The following is a 20,826-nucleotide window of genomic DNA, read 5'->3' on the forward strand; positions in this document are numbered from 1 at the left end:
GTAGAATTATGCAAAATAATTTATTTTCACATTTGTAAACTTCAGAGGATACTCTAAATTCATACAAGAAAAAAATAATAATCTTCTTAATTATGAGCCAGAGTGAGAAATATCAGCCTTCTTTCCTTTTCTTCACCTACCTCTACTTTGGGGCCTCCCTCACTTTTGTGGTAGAAATCAGGTCTTTGCTTCTGCCAGTCTTAGGCTACACATGGCTATTTCACATGCTACCTAAGGTAAAAAGATGCTTTACTTTGCATTTGACTACTAAATTCAGGATGATAATTACTGAATACCTGTCATATTCCAGGAATAATGCTGTGTGTAAGGGGCACATAATTTTCTCTTAGAGTGCTTATTGACCACTTGTAGAAAGGGTTTCTGCTTTGAGTATACTACTCAGGTTATTAGTGGATGCATGAATGTGGGAAGTGGGAAATTAAGGAACCTCTAAATTTTACTCCAACTTACACAGTCTATTATCCTTTATACAAAATATAATTATTTTCACAGATTATACACATACACAGTATGCTGGGGTTTTTTAAATTAGAATTATAATTTGAGCATTAAGAAGTACTGTTGCTGTTGCATTCCACTTAATTGCCTGTGAATGTATTACTTCCTCAAATGTTCAGGAGAGTTCATGGTTGCTTGGACCTGGTAGGGATTAAAGGGGAAGGTAATGACTCACCATCCCAGTTGTCTCAAGACTCACCCAGTTTTAGCACTAAGAGTTCCACATACTGGGAAACCCCTCAGTTCTGAGAAAACAAGGATAATTGGCTCCCTTAGAGAATGTCTGAGTCATAGTTCTTCTGATATGTTGCATCATTCAAACTTACTAAGGATGTTAAAGAAGACAGTGTGGTGGTCATTGAGGTTGGCTCCCAACATCCATTTCACCCTAGTAACCTTCTACCCTGTTGCTGTGTTTTGTTAGAGGTGGCAAGGGCTAAGGCAATTTGGGTCAAAGTGATGTTGGGAGAAGCTTGCTAGGGACTTCTGAAAATGGCAGTGCCTTACTTTTAAGAGAGAACATAGAAAGGCAGCCTTTCTCTCCTGTTAAATGCCCCAGTATTCCTGGCAGCCATCCCACAACCTTGAAGGAAACAAGGCTTGGAGGGAAGCCAAAAGTGAAGGCAGAGAAAACAAAGCCTGGGTCCTGGATGATACCATCCGGCTGTGAAATAAACCAACTCCACAGCCCACTGTACCTCTGACTACTAGTTGGTAAACAAATATCCTAATGTGTAAGCCAGTTTAAATAAGGTTTCGGGTTACTTTGTTTGTTCCAGCTAAAAGCATTGCAGATGATGATCATGGAAAGTAATAAAGCCTTTAATTACCAATTGTCCTGACTGAATGGGTGAAAAATGTATCTTGGCATAAGATGATGGTTACGCAGCGAAAGCAGAGCCATAAAGAGATTGTTGCTTTAACTTTAAAAGTACAACTAGAACAAGGATTTTTTTTTAAAGGAGAAGCTGAGAAACAATTGAATAGGCCATTGACCAATAAAAATTAGCGGGGGATTGCATTGTTTTAAATCCTCAAGTTGATTGTTAAAAATAGTGAAAAGTTTTTAAAGGCCATATGCTTTAAAAGGAGGTTAGATGCCTAATTCCAATAACAGAATCTGTCCACAGCACTGCTTTTTGGTCCTATGCCCCAGGAGATCCATTTTTGTTTGTCAGATGTTATTTGTTGAATGGATATGATATTCCTGACATTGTAAATGTAAGACCAAATCAAAAAGGATAGAAATATAAATGAATAGACCCATTCTGCAAGAGAGAGAGACAGAAATGGAGAGAGAATAGGAGAATAAGAGAAAGAAGCTTGTTATAAATTATTGTGCTTTCAACTTATCACAAAAAGCTCATTCTTGTATTCCCAAACTGCAAAGACAACAGGTTAAAATAATAACCTTGAGTGTAGATAAAAGAAAGTTGATTATAAATTCAACATGGGTTTCATTATTTGTTCTGTATTTTAAGATGACATTCATCATAAAGGCACACCAACCCCGAAAATAGTTACCAACTCTCCACTTTAGACAACATGAGACAGTATGAGAACAGCAGGTCTGAAAAAAGGAAAGCATTTTTTTGCATTATGCTATTAAATGGAACACTTAATCAGCTTTTTTGCCAAGAGAAAACTTCCCATTATGTTAAGTTCTAAATAGGGCTGTGGGAAAAAAGTCTGCAAATGGAAAGGCTGTGGAGATGTGTCTGTTGACTTTGGTTGTTTCATAAAGTGTTAAGAGAGTCAGCATTTGTCAAAGATTCTTGGAAACCTTGGTTTAAGCAATTCTCTTTACCTTTTTGTCTGAGATTTGATGTCCCAACTTGGTAAATAGTGCATTTTTCAGGACAGATCTGTCAGAGTTTCCTCTTGTTCTCCCTTCACTCCTGCTCCCCCTTGTCCTTAGGCTGTTGCCAGGTGTTTGAGTATTATGTCGGATCTCCAGCATTATGTCATGGAAAAGCAACAGTAAGATCTGTAAACTGCCTTTCAAAACAGTTCTCCAGGAAGCCAGTCTGAATTTACTCTGGTTTTTAAAAAAGAATCATGTGTTTGACCAGCAGTTGCTTTAAATCCTGCTTTTTTCCACCAGAGATAAAGAAATGAAAAATGTGGGTATTGGTTTTTGCTGGCAAGATGTCGATCTAAAGTTTGCAGCATTCAGCATAAAATAAATGCACATGCTTTATTCAGAAATCTCATCCATTGATAAATGGGATCATTTAGAGACAGGACTGGTAGACTCTACCTATTCTTCTCCAAAGGAAAGCCTTGAGGATTTGCACTTTGTATGACATAATGGAAACAGACCCATTTTCTGATAGGGTATTTATCTGGCAAAATTCAATGAATGAATGGTTGGAGAGTCAGTATAGAATCTGTTCTGGAGCTTCTGAAGCATCCCTAGACCAAATTATATCCTGAACTGTACAGGTCTATCATCCTTCTCAACTGCAAGTGGTCAAAGACCTCTGAGCCTGTGTATTTGAAACTGACTGGTGATGAAAAGTGTAGTTTAACTAGTCTTGATTCAGCCTGGTTTAAGTTGGACACATTTTAGTTTCTTTGGTCTGTGACACAGATGTCTGCTGGATGAGCACCATCCTAGAGGCTGAACTAAAATTTACAAATATGTCATTTTTCTGCATGGGTAATATATACATCAAAGAGGAAGTACAAGACCCCTATATGTTGTCTTCTGCTTTCCAGATGTTTCTGAAATTACTTACTCCCTTTTAGTCTGGCCTTTCTGTGGAAGGAAACCTTTGATGCTAATCAACATTTGAAGTAGACCATTGATGCTGAGAGTTCTTGGGGCTAGCTCTTGCCTCTGAAGAGAATTTGCATAGGTTATCTACTGTAACCCACAAGGCAGTCAGTGACCCCATACTTTATCCAACCTTAGAGCACTCTGGTCCTTTTCATTAAACTGTTGGCCTGCCTCTTAGGTGCTCCTGCCTTTGCACAGTCCCAGTTGATGATAAGACAGTTGGTGGCCATGGCTGTGGAGATTTAGCTCAATATGGAAGTAGTCAGAAGGTTGACTGAAAGCTGGAATGTCAGGGTGCCCCCTCCTGGACTTATTCAATATAAAAATTAGATTGTGACTTAGTTCAGAGGAAGTTTGCTATTAATCCATAAAATCTAAGTCTCTTGTGCTGCAGTTTTTATGTTAATATTATTTTAACCTAAAAATAAATATTCATTACTATTCTAATAAATAATAATTTAATATTAATTAAATTTTATATTAACAAATATTAAACTTTAATGAGTGAAATTATATATTAATTATATTAATTTATATCAAGTAATATAATTAAAATTAATATTAATTAAATTTTACATTAATAAATATTAAATTTTAATAAATATTTTTATAATATTATTTTTATGTTAATAATGTCCTGTGCAAATAGAGTACCAGCCTTTATCAGCTTAAAAACTGGGATCCCTTGCACAAAACTATGTCCTTGCTTTGCCATGGTGATCTCAACTCTCAAGGTTTAACCACTCACATTTTTAAACTCTATTAGTTCACTTAGTCACTTTTAAATTACAAGCATAAAAACTCAGCACATTTTTATGATCATGCCACTGCACTTCAGCCTGGGCAACAGAACAAGACCCTGTCTCTTTTTGTTTAAAAACAAAAGCAAGAAACAAAACCTTAGTACATTCCTAAATAGGGGTCCTAAGAAATGTATGCCTTGGTTCTATATGCACTATGCCTCTTTATATCGTAACATTGATCTGGCTCTTGTATTTTCTAACAGAATCCCTGATGATGATTTTTATTCTCTGTGCCGTGCTATTCACAGTGATCCTGGGATCTACTATTTTTTAACCCCTATGCATAAATTAGACATTATCACTAAGTTTAGGTTTGTTTAGATTTCTTATCCGATTTTTGTTTCCCCTTTTTCCCCCACTCTTTTACCCTTATCCACAGGTGGTATTCTTGAAATGATTTTCTAATAGTCTATGGAGTTATGAACTTAGAATGAGTTGAGAGTGCCTTGCTTCCTTTCCCATATGATATTATCATCCCAGAAGGAAATCCTGCCTCGTGGTATAATTCTTTTCAAGAAGAGAAAGGAACACATTCTCTGAGCTTTAAAAGTACTGTATTTCTTGAGTCTATGATACCATTGAATCCATGATTAAAGATGCTGTTACATGCACTCCAAAAAAGAAAAAAAGCTCAAGATGAAAAATCTAATAATAGACTTGCAATTAAGAGGGCTACATCATTATTATGTGAGTAAATAAATGAACAAACAAAACCACCGTGTGAAAAGAGACAGCAAGAAAATGTATTTCTCAACATCGGTACTGGTGGAGGAAAGAAAAACTTCTCCCCTGATTATTTGAACCAAAACCCAATACAAGTACATGTTTTCAGTCTGAATTCATGAAAGTGATTGTAAATCACCATTGGATTATAGGACATACCACAATTTCAGAGATGATGAAATACATTGAAAAAGGTTTATTTTTAAATCAATGAAACACACTAATTTAAATTGTTCAAAAGTTAGTGTTTGTCTATATTTTTCTTAACTTCTAAAGGTTTGGGTAAGCATCTATACCTCATTGTCCTACTCCAAACTGGATTTCCAGATGTCTTAAGGTCATTTATCACTGAATAAGCCTCTCTGGATTCAACTTGATGTTTTCTCCCAGCCTCCATAAAGATGGAATATTTTAGAGGCTAATGCCCATAATGAGGTGTGTACGTTTTAAAGACCCCAGGAGCAGTACAGTATTGTCTTGCTCAGGGCAGTGTACATCAAGATGTAATTGTCAGATGTAAAATGACACTGAAAGTACATTCAATCTAACAGCTGGCTTTATAGTATTGGTTTTCAACACTCTCTTTCCATCAGAGCCACAATAGACTATCATCTTACTAAATTTCTCAAATTAAATAGAATCAGCCTTCTCATTCACATTGAATGGTAGACTCCCAGTGAATACCCTGATGCTTCATGTAACATATGTGCGGTTGAATTACTCTGCTACTGACCCATAGGTCCTCCCATTGTGTCATTATGATAAAATAGAAGTATGAGGTCATATTGAGTAAAATAACTTAAAATGTTTTTGTTTAAGAATGACCTGAACACTGTGTGTTCATCAGATACAGCTATATGCAAATTTTCTTCTACTTTAGTCTAGATCAGAGTTTTTCACTCTGGATCATTAGTGCAGTTATTAATATTAATTAAATTTGGAAAATTCTATCCACTCTGTTCCCTTTCTTAAAAAGTCACAATACCCATTTGAATTTTAAATGCCTTGAAAGGCCCTGGGATAAGGAGATTTAACTTTTCACAGTCAACTTTTTACAATTATTTTCCCTTGAAACCATGTCTTTCACAAAAAATTTATTCTAATTTTGCTTTACATAATTTAAGGTGCTGTCTAGATCCCATTTATTCATTTTCACTCTATTAGCAATGATTAGAGAGGCAGATCTGGTAGGATCTTATAGGCTGTTTTAATAGGAGGTCACTGAAGGGTTTTATAGGTGAGTGATCTAATCTGATATACAGTAGGAGTAAGGAAATCAAATTCCCTCCATCAATAAAAAGTTCATTCATTTATTCATTTAACAAATGTTTAATGAGTTTCTATTATATGTGAGGCATTGTGTTAGATGTCAAAGAGTGAAATTCAGATGATAATGTAGATGGTACAATGTAAACCAATACAATTATAGCCATCCCAGGGGCTGGAATCTTAAGATAGTATGTTGAAGTGTAAGGGTAGGGAAATTCAGTTCAACAAACACATACCACAGAGCCACTTATGTGCTAGTTAGATGTTCTCTCCTGGGGTTACAGAGATGAATCCAGTACATTTTTAGCTCTTGGGGAGCCTACGAGCTTGTGGGTGGAGCCACATCTGTTCACTGCCAAGTGTCAGAAGCATTTGTAAATCAAGGGTTGAAGAAAGCAGAACAGTCTTTTCTTTGCCCAGAGATAATTCACAAACTTAAGGATTGAAGGAGCTGATAAATTTCTTTAGTTCCTCTGTCTGCTTTACATATATATATATATATATATATATATATATATATATATATATATATATAAAATTATTATTTTCTTTTTTTCTTTTTTGAGACAAAGTCTTGCTCTGTCACCCAGACTGGAGTGCAGTAGCATGATCTCGGCTCACTGCAACCTCCGCCTCCCGGGTTCAAGCGATTCTCTTGACTCTCAGCCTCCCAAGTAGCTGGGATTACAGACGCGTGTCACCATTTCTGGCTGATTTTTATATTTTTTTGTAGAGACAGGGTTTCACCCTGTTGGCTGGTGAACCAGGCTGGTCTCGAACTCCTGACCTCAAGTGATCTACCCGCCTCGGCCTCTGAAAGTGCTGGGATTACAGGCATGAGCCACCGCACCTGGCTACTTTACCTTTATTTTAAAGTCTTCATTTTAGAATACTGTATGCCATAGCTTTCAAAAATAATGCATTTTATTATCAAAGACTATAGGAAAACATAAAAAAGAAAATTTGAAGATTTTGCAGCCATGGAGCTGGCTTGTTCCAAGACAAAAACCAGGGTTTCCTAGAGTTGCCTTTGTTCCTGACAAATTTTTTGGTGTTGGTGCTGGTCCAAAATGTTCTTATAATCAACTCCCTTATTATAGGCAATAACTCAGGAAAGGACTGTGTTTATACATCAAAAACCACAATAACAACAACAACAACAAAACTAGTTAGATATACTGTAGCACTGAGGTGATAGTGCTATAGTGTGTCTAATTAGTGATGATTGATGAGTGCTTTACTTTCCAATAAAATGTGATTTTTAGCTACTGGCGCTCAAGATAATGTCTTTCACTATGTCATTGTACTTAAATCTAACCCTAGCAACTCCCTCTTTCCAAAGCCATTAAGTTTTTTCTTTTTTTTACCCTAGAACTTAAAGTATAATAATAATAAAAAAGAAATAACATACTTTTACATTATTGTCCTACTGTGATACTTATTTCTAAGTATGTGGACCATATACTCTGATCACCCTATCATATTTCAGTTGGTGATATCTCTTTCTTGGCAAGCATAGAAATATAATTCAGTCTTTTCTCCAGTACTGTTAATCAGAACAATTTTTGTTGATAGTTTTAAAAGTTTCTTTTAACTTCGGTACTCAGTATTTGTAATGTCATATAAATTTTGGGGATCATTATCAAACTTGGAAGGCCTTTACTATGTTTCGTTCATAATACGCTCTAACAGAATACTTGCCATTTATAGTATTGCTATGTTTGTGCCTACAAACTCAGGAAATCAAGTAAATTTTATTTTGTACTTTTCATAAAAATGTATGATGTATTTGCAATTGTACATAGAATACGTTTCGAACAGGAGTGAATTTCCATTTTGACTTGGTGTCAATGAAAACCAAACCCTCAGCTTAAAATGTGTATATGTCTAATAAATGGAGGAATTTTCTACAGACTATCTTTGGGTTCTATACGTTGCAAACCTTGCTTTTACTCATTATTCACGTATTTCTGATATTAGGTACCCCTTACATTAGGGTAGATCCCACTAGGATCTCTAGCCCTGTGCTTCGTGCCATGACATTAGGTGATTCAATATAGTGCGTAGTAGGAGTATTTCATGAAGCTCAGGACAGCTGGCAATAACTGTACGATACCCTGGAGTAATTGTAAACAGCATAAATACACCTCACTAAGTCCAAACTAAATCTACCCTAAGTTTAAATTTTCCTTAGCTGGATATCAAAAATATTCTTGATCCCTCCAGTGGAAATTGACCAGAGAGAAAGTAGAATGGCGAGGAAATTAAAGTGGAGAGAGACTGTGGCCATTAACCAACTGTGGTTTAAGTATTTTATTTCTGTGATAAATAAATAATATTTTATTTTTTGGAAAACTTAATGCTCGTATGAACACATTGCAAGGGCTACTCCCAAGGCCTTGGAACGCATGCCCTTGAGGAGTCTGAAGCTTTCAGTTCATTAGCTTTCCACCTCTGAGTTTTGTTTTTCTCATGTTACCAAGTGACATAGGCTTTTAAAAATCCACATTATACCTCTTCTCTATTGCATGGCTTCTGGCTACTCACAGTTTCTGTTGATTCCCACGGAGCCCAGTTCTACGTTCTGACTTCTCTTGCTGCAGCCTTTCAGCTTAATCTCTCACTGTTTACTTCTTTTCACTCCAGTAGTGGTTGGTTTAGTTTAAGTACCAATGCCTGCACCAGCTACCTGGGACCAAGCTGGGAGAGAGTAGAGGGACAGTATCTGAAGAGGCCTTCTCTGAAGCATCACCAAATTTTAACATCTGTAAAGTAGGAAAGTGAGTTAAGGAACTAGGACCACTGGGGTGGTAGAATCTGCCACCCTTGGTTAATGGTTGCGAGAACACATCTAAAGGAAAACCACTTCTCTATTGTGCTTCTTGCCTTCTTTTTTTTACAGTGAATCCTTTTCATCAAATATTAATAACTCTCATATTGATATATTACCTTTAAAATGGTTATAAATGCACCACTTTGGGAATATGTGTTCAGGGAGAGGAAGCTGTTCGCGTGATCTCAGCTGTGCTTCTGATATGCTTCCCCTTAATGGAAGCTGTGGGAGGACCGTTCTCACCTGCAAGGGTATGGGGGCAAGCAGGCTTCATGACCAGCATTTCTAGCACAAGTAAATATGTAAATATTAAATGTGCATATATCATATACATTTCTCATATCGCAGAGTCAATTATATCTATGGGAAGGAAAGCAGATTTCTTGTGAGCTATCTGGTGATAGGCGAACTTTATTTTCTTCCCACTCTTCTCATTCCTGAGAGTTATCACCGAAATCTCTGCCTTCACCCAGATCTTCCTATATCTGAGTTTCCCCTGAAACCATCCAGAAGGCTCATTTGTCTGAAATCATACTTATTCCACACCTGCTTTGCTCGATTATTTATTTCCTCAGTGAATATAACCATTCCTCTTCTACACCAGCTGCCTAAAATAAGAAGAAACCCTTTAAGCCTGACTTGTACTTTGCGCTTCTCATTTAATTGGTCAATAAAATTTATCAATTCTAAGTTGGAATATCTCTCAAATCCATCCATTTCTCTTTACCTTACTGCCACTGTCATTGGTGTGCTCTCATCTTTAAATGATGAATTAAAGCATCAGCCCTCTAATTGGCCACTCTTCTACCCATTTTGTCTCCTTCATTCCTGGTCTAAATCTTTTTCAGTTACTACCTAAATCATTTCCTCTAAGTCTCTAATCTCTTCTTGTCCTTCCTCTCCATAGAACCGTTTTCAGTGACTTCCTAGGGCTCCTAGGGTGAAGTCCAGATTTTTCAGCATCCCTATATCTTTCAGTCCTTTCTTGCCCTCTGTTTCCAGCCTTTCTCAACACCTTTCAGTACATTAAACATGACATGCTCTTTCTTGCTCCAGGCCTTTGGTCTTTTGGTTATCCCCTCCTGAAATACTTTCTTGTTCTTCATTATTCAGTTCAGGCACCATTCCTTCCAGAAAGCTGAACTTAGACACCATCCAGGGCCTGGAATTAGGGACTTCTAGCATATACCCTATACCTGTATCATGACTGCTATTGGGCTAGAATCACCATAAGAATTGTTGCTGCTATTGCCAGTATTCATCAGACATTTACTAGATGCTAGGTTCAGTACTCAACGTGCATTCTCATTTGATCCTCACAGAATCTTATGAGGTTGACTTCATTAATGTGCCCATTTTCTAGATGAGGAAGCCAGGGGTTTGTGACTTGATTAACCCAAGATGACACTGCTAGTAAATGGCAGAGCTGTGGTTTCAGTCTGGGTTGATCAAATGGATTGCAATGATAATTATGTTAAGATCAGTCTAAGCGCTGCTCATTTATCACATTTTCTCATTTTCTTGTAATCTTTTTTTTTTTATTTTTCCCCATTTTATTATTATTTTATTTTTTTGAGATGGAGTCTTGCCCTGTTGCCCAGGCTGGAGTGCAGTAGCATGATCTTGGCTCACTGCAACCTTCGCCTCCTGGGTTTAAGTGATTCTCTTGCCTCAGCCTCCAGAGTAGCTGGGATCACAGGCACACACCACCATGCCCAGCTAATTTTTGTATTTTTAGTAGAGAGGGGGCTTCACCATATTGGCCAGCCTGGTCTCGAACTCTTGACCTCAGGTGATCTGCCTGTCTCAGCCTCCCTAAGTGCTGGGATTACAGGCATAAGCCACTGTGCCTGGCCCTTCCCCATTTAATTTTAAGTTAGCTCCTCAAGGAAGGAGACCTTGACCAATTTCTCTGTCTCAATAGTTCCTAATACAGAGCCTAACACATGGAAAACTATCACTAAATAGGTGTTTAATGCCTGGGTCATAGATAAATAAATGAATTAATTAATAATTTTGGCACCCTAAAGACATTGATTACTTGGATGTAGAGATCTGTGATAGGTACAATTTGTCTTTCCTCACCACACTGTCTCCTCCATCTCATATTTTTGTTGCTCCTCTGACTGGCATGATCTTGTCCTTGAGTTTCTTCTGAAATTTTACTTTCTTTATCTAAAGTTTAATAACATTTATTATGTTACCCAAAAATATTTTAAATCAATATTCTTATGGTCTTCTACATATGTTAACTTTGAGGGCCTGTTGTTTTTGGTTGGGGGAGGGCAGGGGTTATAGTGATATGTGAGCCTTTTATGTAAAAATATACTTCCAAGAAATTTCTCAAATTGAGTGCCCCGTGGAAGGATCAATAGAAAGGAATAATGATGAGGTTATAGCCTTCTGTTCCATCATTTTATGGCTTACAATAAAATAATGCTATAATCTTTATAAGGATGATGTTACTTATCCTTCTCTCATAGAAACTTCTCTCACAAATAGAATTCTATCTCATCACATTCTAGTTTCTCTGACTCTAAATTAATTCTTTTATTTCAAGTATCTGTGATAAGTTTATGCTTTTTTAAAGTTATTTTATAGAAACATTTTTATCTTGTTTCCTTCATTCCTCAATTTATTGGGCATGATTAACTCCTGAATACTTTAAGGCCTTCTTCATGATGTACTACCAAACAATGATGTGGAATCATGGCAGTTGGTCATCATGAAGGATTTTATGAATATTTGAATCTAAAAAGCCTCATTCTCCCATAGCTCAAAGAATGCAGGTTTTACGCATTTCTTTCTAACTGCTTTGAACCCATGGGGAGCACCGGTCTAAATCATGTTAGTTTGTTCACCAGGCTCAAGTCAGCCTCTGAGGTGGTGCCCTGTAATCTTGACCTCTTTCCGAATGGCCCAATGATGAATTCACCCAGGCTTTCCTTTTCAGCTACAGTTCTCCCAGCCGGCCTAAGCATCTTTTCACAAACAGTCTGAATATCTTAATTAGTTTTTCTCCTCTCTCACCACCTCCCCTGTCAGGATCCTGGCATTGTGCCCAGTGGAGGAAAAACAGTAAATTTCCATTAAAGCTCATCAGTGGGGTTTTCACTGGATTTCTAGGTGCCACCTTTGAGAGTTGCAAAGGCTCCCATTACAGAAGCTGCACAAACTAGGTGTTTTGGACTTCTTGGCTCCCTGGAATGGAAAACAATTACTCACCCTTTTATTCCACTTCCCCTTTTTCCAGGTTGTATCTTGTTGTTCCACATGCACCCCTCCCCAGCTTCTTTGGTTCATCTCTCTCTGTCTCTCCCTTTGCCCCTGGATTTAGTCTGCCATTGAGTCTGGCCAACAACTTTCTTGACTAGACTTGCCTTGAATCTCCCTTTTCCTTTATTTCCAGCGCTAGACCTCCGCAACTGGCCCCTAAATACCTGACGTGTTTGTCTCCCTCCAGCCTCATGATGTAAGAGTTGAGACTCTACCTGTATAGCTGCATCTTTTTCTTTATGGTGCTGTGCAGTTCCAACTATATTGAAATTGACAGAAAACACAAATCCTTATTTCCAAGGGCAAAGAATTACTTGACTTTCTGATCATGCCAGCCACAGCAAATACCTTCTATTCAGTGTCACTCAGCATCTACGCCTCACCCTCAGCACAGCTGCTGTGTTGTCTTCATTTACGTAGATAGAAGGCAACTAAGTTGTCTCCAGACCATGAGGTTGGTGAGAGGATGGAAATGGAAGACAATAGTGATGACACAGAAAGGTCAGGCAGCAGATGGCAGGGGCACTCTTCCAAACCTCTGTGAGTGTCTACAGTTTAAATTCCAAAATCATTCTACAGGTTTGGCATTGGGCCACCCTGGAATGCAGATTCCAATCAGGCCAAGCAGCAGTTGACGTGAGAGGAGGGAAAAAAGGTCATGCCATGCTCATGTTCCTGCAAGTTTTCTCTTTGGAGAGAAGAAAGGGCAAAACTTGGAAAAACAGAAGAATGAAAAAAAAAAAAAAAGACTTACCTTGGGCTCAAGTTAATTTAAAACTATTATGATGGTTCCTTGAAGATTACATATAGCAGTAACTAAGATTTTATACAATAATATGTTATGTTTAGATATAGAAGACCTTTAAAAAGACAGGGAGGAAACAAAATATCACTCATATTAATTAATGTAATCTTGTGGGTATTCTTCTTCACCTGACCATTTCATGGCCCCACATAACTTGGTTTGGCTCTATTTCTTTTTTTAAAAAAACAATTACTCTTGGGAACTATTTCTGCTCTTTCTAAGCAGAGAAACCTATAGATAAGTTACCCACATAATTTATCATAAATATCTTTAAACCTGGTTGCTTAGCTCTTCTTGAGAATGTTAGGTCTTGAACAAATTATAGTTCAGATACCCATGATTAAATTGGCAAGACTTGCAAGTTGAATGCAGTCCAGTCGTGTTTTAGAGAATTTTCTCCAAACACATCTTCTCTTCACTAATTCATAAAGATTTAGGTCTACAGAGCAATCTAGTTTTCCATTGCTGAATGCATGAGGGAGGAGAGAAATCACAGGGCCTTTGGTGAAGAATACCCTATTCAAAGAGTATGCTCATGAAAGTAAAAATAAAATGGTATGGCTCATTGGTATAAGACAGTTTTTTCTTTTCTTTTCTTTTCTTTTCTTTTCTTTTCTTTTCTTTTCTTTTCTTTTTTTGACATGGACTCTCACTCTGTCGCCCAGGCTGGAGTGCGGTGGCATGATCTCGGCTCACTGCAACCTCCGCCTCCTGGGTTCAAGCGACTCTCCTGCCTCAGCCTCCCACGTAGCTGGGATTACAGGCACACGTCACATTGCCCGGCTAATTTTTTTGTATTTTTCGTAGAGACAGGGTTTCACCATGTTGGCCAGGGTGGGTTCAAACTCCTGACCTCAACTGATCTGCCTGCCTTGAACTCTCAAAATTCTAGGATTACAGGCGTGAGCCACCATGCCCAGCCAAGACATTTTTTGTTATGGAAGAAATTTTAATGGAAAACTGCTCCTCTGTTTCTATTAATTAGTAATCTTTATTATTTAGATAAGCAATAGTCATTAATATTATCTATTGTATTCTACTCATGTTGCTTAATTGTGTTTTACTCCAATATGCACTGGAACCCTGGATACAGAATGAAGATTTGGGTACATGTCACTGGTCTGACATTTAACAAATGTGTGCTTGTGGGAAAGTTTTGTTTTTCCTCATTTGTAAAACAGGGGTCATAATAATAATATCTGCTTCTCAAGGAGGTTGTGAGAATTGAATTTGAGAATAAATGTGAAAAGCAGGTTTATAACAATAAAAGATTTATGTATTCATCCAACAAACATTTATTGAGTTTCTATTAGGCAACAAACACTGTCCTAGTAATTAGGACTATAAAAATGGAAATCAAATCCCACCTCTATGGCACTTTGCTGTCCAATGGAGCCCATATTCAAGCAGTTAAAGAATGAGATACTTCCTTGAATTAAAGTCTATACAAAGTGCAGGAAGAGCAAGGAAAGCACTCAAAGCTGCCTGGGGTTCTCACAAGAGCTTTACAGAGAAGACAGACATTTGAGCTAAATTGAAGGAGGAGGAAAATTTTGTCAAATGATTGAGCAGTGGAAATTGATCCTGTGAGAAGAAATAGAATGTGTGCAGACCCAAAAGCATGAGGGAACATGGTACATTTATCATCTGGAGCTCAGGATGAAGAACTGAGTTGCAAATAGAGATTTGGGAATTCTCATCATAGAAGAAGCAATTGAATCCTGGAATGAATGAGAGAAGAGAGTTAAGGATTCTTTCAGAGGGAAGATGGGGGATAAACATTGAGTAAACCCATGAAGAGGAGTGAGAAGTAGTAGCCTGGGAGGTAGACAGGAAGCCAGGGTAAAGCAATGTTTTGGCAATTAATGGAAGAGAAAATTCCAAGAATAAGGGAGTGGTAATAGTTTCAAATACAGCTGAGAGATCAAGCAAGGTATCTACTAAATTAAAAACTTAGATGTCTTGATCATCTTAATGAGGATCAGTGAAGAGGTAAGAAGTGGAAGCTTATTGCAATGTTTTGAGGTGTGTATAGGAAGTCAAAAGGTGAAAAGAGTAAGTATTATCTCACCTTTGGCTGAATATGGAAAGAGAAAGCTGAGATATTGTCAGAGAAGAATGAGAGGGTCAAAGATATTAGAGAATGTTGCCTCTTATTTCCAGCAGCTTTGCTAGGAGAAGAAGGAACCTTATGGGGATGTAACTAGGGAAGACTGCAATGTTATAGGGGATGTTTCAGTTCGAATAAAAAAGACTGTAACATTTTTTTAAAATTTACATACATATACTACATATATCTACATAATTTAGAAAATTTTGAGTCACTATGAAGTACATTGTGATGTTTGTATCAATTAAAATATGAGTAGAGTATTATAGCCTATGGCTAAAGATAGATTTTAGAAACATAGATAATTTTCTTTAAGTTCAAGCTGAGAGGAACAGCTATCCATCCTTTCATTTCAGAAGTATATTAAGGGCCAGGCGCTGTGGCTGACACCTGCAATCCCAGCACTTTGGGAAGCCAGGGTGGGAGGATCACCTGAGGTCAGAAGTTTGAGACCAACCTGGCCAACATGGTGAAACACTGTCTCTACTAAAAATATTTAAAAATTAGGTAGGCATGGTGGTAGGCACCTGTAATCCCAGCGACTTGGGAGGCTGAGGCAGGAGAATTGCTTGAACCCAGGAGACAGAGGTTGCAGTGAGCTGACACGGTGCCACTGCACTCCAGCCTGGGTGATAGAGTGAGACACTCTCCGCACCCCCCACCCACAGAAAAAAAAAGAAGTATATTAAGTACCTAGTATGTGCTGGTCACTATACTGGGCCCTGGTGATACCATATAGAAAAAACAAGTGCGTTCCCTGCTCTTCTAGAGCTTGCAGTCTAATGGATGAGGCAGACCCTACTGAAAATATTATAAAAACAATTATTGAAACAAAAGTATGTTCAGTTCTGTCTCATTCTAGATATGAAATCTCACACTTCTACTTTTCAAGTTGTTAGTAAATATCACAACTATCCCCATTGCTATCCACAAAGATTTCTCATTACAGCAGGCATTTATTGGACATAAAATGTTGTCAGGCAGTCAAGCATAAGAGAAAACAAGGAGTTGGAAGAAATATGTTCTGCTGTGATAGAAATAATTGTGCTAACTGAACCTAAACCTTTTAAGAGTAAAATATAATATAGGATCATATAAAATAAGTTTAAATGAGAGAGAGATCAAACAATTTTCATAGGAGTTTTATAGGTTTACTTTGATACACCTGAAGATTTTTTTCCTGCTCTTTTAACTTACTAAGATCATGGAAATTAGAACTATAAGGAATATTATTGATCATGTAATCTGTGAATCTATTTTTCAAATCGGAAGACTGACATCCAGGCCGGGCACAGTGGCTCACACCTGTAATCCCAGCACTCCAGGAGGCCAAAGCAGGCAAATCACCTGAGGTCAGGAGTTTGAGACCAGCCTGACCAACATGGTGAAAACTCATCTCTACTAAAAACACAAAATTAGCCAGGCATGGTGGTGCATGCCTGTAATCCCAGCTACTGGGGAGGCTGAAGTGGGAGAATCGCTTGAACCTGGGAGGCAGAGGTTGCAGTGAACCAAGATTGCGCCCCTGCACTCCAGCCTGGGTGACAAGATTGAAACTCCGTCTCAAAAAAAAAAAAAAAAAAAAAGAAAAAGAAAAGAAAAAGAAAACTGACATCCAAAGAAATGAGGGATTTACCTAAGATCCCACAACCTAATCAAAAACTGACATTCTAATCATATACTTCCATTTGCATGCCATGCAGTCATTAAAAATTAAGCTGTAGATTAATGTTAAATACAACAGGAAGATATACAGGGTTAAAATTTTTGATTATCACTTCTTTGTGATATTCTCAGTTTAAACTGTTTTTTTGTGTTCTTTTCCTAGTTCTATTATTCCCAGTTAAAACTCATGGTAGTCAGTTTTGGAGTCTTCAAACTAGACAGCCATAACATGTATGTATGTATACATATAAGTATCATGTATATATACATAACATATATGTATACATACATACATGTTATGACTCTCTAGAAGACTCCAAATTTTTTATATATATAATGAAAATTTATATATGTACCTATACTATATAATGAAAATTTATATATGTATACATATATATAGTGAAAATTTGTTTCTTTCCTATTCCTACAGATTATTTATTTTACTCTCTTCAAACTATACAGCTAGGATATACGTTATAATACAGTCCCAATTACAAGTATCTTTGCTTTCTTCCTGAGTTTAAATGAAATACTTTTAATATTTTAATATTGAGCTTGGCGTTTAATGTACACTTTTGTAGATACCCTTTATTACATTAAACAAATGTTTAATCCTATCCTTAGTTTAAATATTTTATTATGAATCATTGTTGAATATTATTAAACAACTCCTGGATCTAATTAGTCCCTGAATCTTTTTTTTTTTACTTCCTTTTTTTTTCTGTCAACTTTTATTTTAAGCTCAAGGGTACATTTGCAGGATGTGCAGGGTTGTTACATAGGTAAACGTGTGCCATGGTGGTTTACTGTGCAGATCATCCTATCACCTAGTTATTAAGCATCCATTAGCTCTTCTTCCTGATTTCTCCCTCTCCCCTGATGCTCTCCCACCCCCCACAGCCCCCAACAGGTGCCCAGTGTGTGTTGTTCTCCGCCATGTGTCCATGTATTCTCATCAGTCATCTCCCACTTACAAGTGAGAACATGTGGTGTTTGGTTTTCCGTTCCTGTGTTAGTTTGCTGAGAATAATGGCTTCCAATGACATCCATGTCCCTGCAAAGGACATGATCTCATTCCTTTTTATGGCTGCATAGTATTACATGGTGCATATATACCACATTTTCTTTATTCTATCATTGATGGGCATTCAGGTTGATTCCATAACTTTGCTATTGTAAATAGTGCTACAATGAACAAACATATACATGTATTAATATCTTAGAATTATTTGCATTCCTTTGGGTATATACCCAGTAATGGGATTGCTGGGTCAAATGGTATTTCTGCCTCTATGTCTTTGCCCTGAATCTTTTAATCTGTTAATGTATTTAATCGACTGGTAGATTTTCTGTCTTCTTCTTCTTTTTTTTTTTTTTTAGACACAGTCTTGCTCTGTCACCAGGCTGGAGTGCAGTGGTGCAATCTTGTCTTACTGCAACCTCCATCTCCCAGGTTCAAGCGATTCTCCTGCCTCAGCCTCCAAAGTATCTGGGACTACAGGCGCACACCACCACGCCTGGCTAGTTGTTTTTTTTTGTTTGGTTTTTTTTTTGTATTTTAATAGAAATGGCGTTTCACCATGTTGGCCAGGATGGTCTTAATCTCCTGACCTCATCATCCACCCACCTTGGTCTCCCAAAGTGCTGGGATTTCAGGCGTGAGCCACTGCACCCAGCCCTTTATTTATTTATTTATTTATTTATTTATTTATTTTTATTTATTTATTTTTTGAGACAGGGTTTCTCTCTGTTGCCCAGGTTGGAGTGCAATGGTGCAATCTCGACTCACTGCAGCATTCACATCCCAGACTCAAACGACCCTTCCACTTCAGCCTCCCAAGTAAGAGGGGTGGGACTACAAACGTGCCACCATGCCTGGCTAATTTTTGTTTTTTTATAGAGACTGGGTTTCACCATGTTGCCCAGGCTGGTCTCAAACTCCTGGACTCAAGTGATCCACCCACCTTGGCTTCCCAAAGTGCTAGGATTATAGGCGTGAGCCGCCATACCTGGCCTGATGGGTAGATTTTCTATGTGAAACAGACCTTAAATTTTTTCAATCAGTTCAAAATGATTATAATATATGTATATAATTTCTAGATTTATTATCAGAATCGTTATATATACAATAAAAGAATAGTAAAACACACCTAATGTTATCACCCAGCCTTAAAAAATATCAGTATTTTGCTATTCTTTCTTCATCTATCCTTCCATGACCCCCATTTTTTTAGTGTATTTAAAAGCAAATCTTAGACATCATGTCATTTCACCCATAAATATCATAATATGCATCACTAACTGGTAGGCACTTTTAGAATATGTAGCAGCCATCCCATTATTACACCCAAAACAATTAATGGAAGTTCCTTAATATAATCTAATACCTATTTTATACTCATATTTTCAGGAAAGTCTCTGAGGTACTTTTTATGTAATTTTGTCCTCTCCACATCATTATCTAAGAGGAGATTGATACACTGGAAATTGCACATCACATTTAGGTCTCTTAAAGCTTCTTTATAGCAGTCTCTATACCATTCATTCGCTTTTATTCAAGACATTGACTTGTCAGGGAAACTGGGTCATTTGTCCTAGAATATTCATTCTGGATTTTGCTAATTGCTTCCTCATGGCACCATTTAACTTATCCTTCTAGTCCCCACTTTTCCTGTTAACCAAAATTCAGATCTAGAGGCATTATTTAATTTAGGTTCCGTTTTTCCGGCAAGAACACTTCATAAGTGGAACTGTGCTTTTCCTATTGCATCATATTGTGATAGGTACAAAATATCTGATTGTCCAACACTGGTGATGTTAAGATTAATCAGTGGACACAGGTGGGATCAGCCATTGTAAAGTCCCCCATTGTCATTTACCTAATGGTTTTAGCATCCATCTACAATTATTACCCACATGTATTATTTCATTACTGGTTGTAAAATGATGATTCTCTCATTCTATCCTGAATCTTGCATTTATTAACTCTTTTTCATAAAAGAACATTTCCTTGTCAACTTTTTAGATTCACACAGGAAAGATAGGATAAATGCTTCATTCTTTTCCTTTATTTGTCAACTTTCAGACTATGTATTTTTGTCCTAACAACCACCAGTGATGATCTATGAGGTGGTTGTGGTTTTGCGTTTTTGCTACTATGGATTTTTATAGTTTTGATGTGTTTCCATCCAACAGAGTTATTCCTTTTGATTCTCAAGTTATCCCATATTAGGCCACTAGAAGCCCCTTCTCCATTTATTCTATTTCCTTTTGACATAATTTCATTCATGTTTAAAAGCCTCTGCTTTCTGGAACAACAAGATGTTCCAGGCTAAGCTATTTTTTTCTTGTTTTCTTGCCTTTATCAGATATAGAGTCAGCTATTTCTTCAAGAAGCTCTGGTTCCTTTAAATAGGTATGATTTGCTGATATTTCGTATGTGATTTTTGCATCTATATCCAAGAGTGATGTTAGAGATATCTATGTGTGTGTGTTTTCTATACACATTGCCTTGTCGTTTTTTGTTACCAAGTTTTTAGTAGGCTCATAGAAAAGTTAAGGCGTGTTTTACCTTTTTCTATACTCTGAACTAATTTGTGTAAGAGAAGAATTACCTGTTTCTTCAACTGCTTGTTTATTTACCTGTAAGTTCTCTAAGGATAATTTTTTTTTTTTTTTTTTTGAGATGGAATTTCGCTCTTATTGCCCAGTCTGAAGTGCAGTGGCGCAATCTTGGCTTGCTGCAATCTTGGCTTGCTGCAACCTTCGCCTCCTAGGTTCAAATGATTCTCCTGCCTCAGCCTCCTGAGTAGCTAGGATTACAAGCGCCCGCCACCACACCTGGCTAATTTTTGTATTTTTAGTAGAGATGGGGTTTCACCATGTTGGCCAGGCTGGTCTCAAACTCCTGACCTCAGGTGATCCACCCGCCTCAGCCTCCCAAACTGGTGGGATAACAGGTGTGGGCCACCATGCCCGGCCAGGATAATGTTTTCTTTTTGAAAACATGCTTATCTACCGATTCTGTGTCTGTAATAGTTA

General features: G+C 37.4%; 1 protein-coding gene across 11 annotated transcripts in view; it reads left to right on the plus strand.

Moving 5' to 3' along the window:
- Window positions 1-20,826, plus strand: part of ADAMTSL1 (ADAMTS like 1) — a 1,004,318-nt gene that overhangs the window by 486,066 nt on the left and 497,426 nt on the right. The window lies entirely within an intron of this gene.

This window comes from Homo sapiens, chromosome 9, assembly GCF_000001405.40.
Source record: "Homo sapiens chromosome 9, GRCh38.p14 Primary Assembly".
NCBI classification, from domain to species: domain Eukaryota; kingdom Metazoa; phylum Chordata; class Mammalia; order Primates; family Hominidae; genus Homo; species Homo sapiens.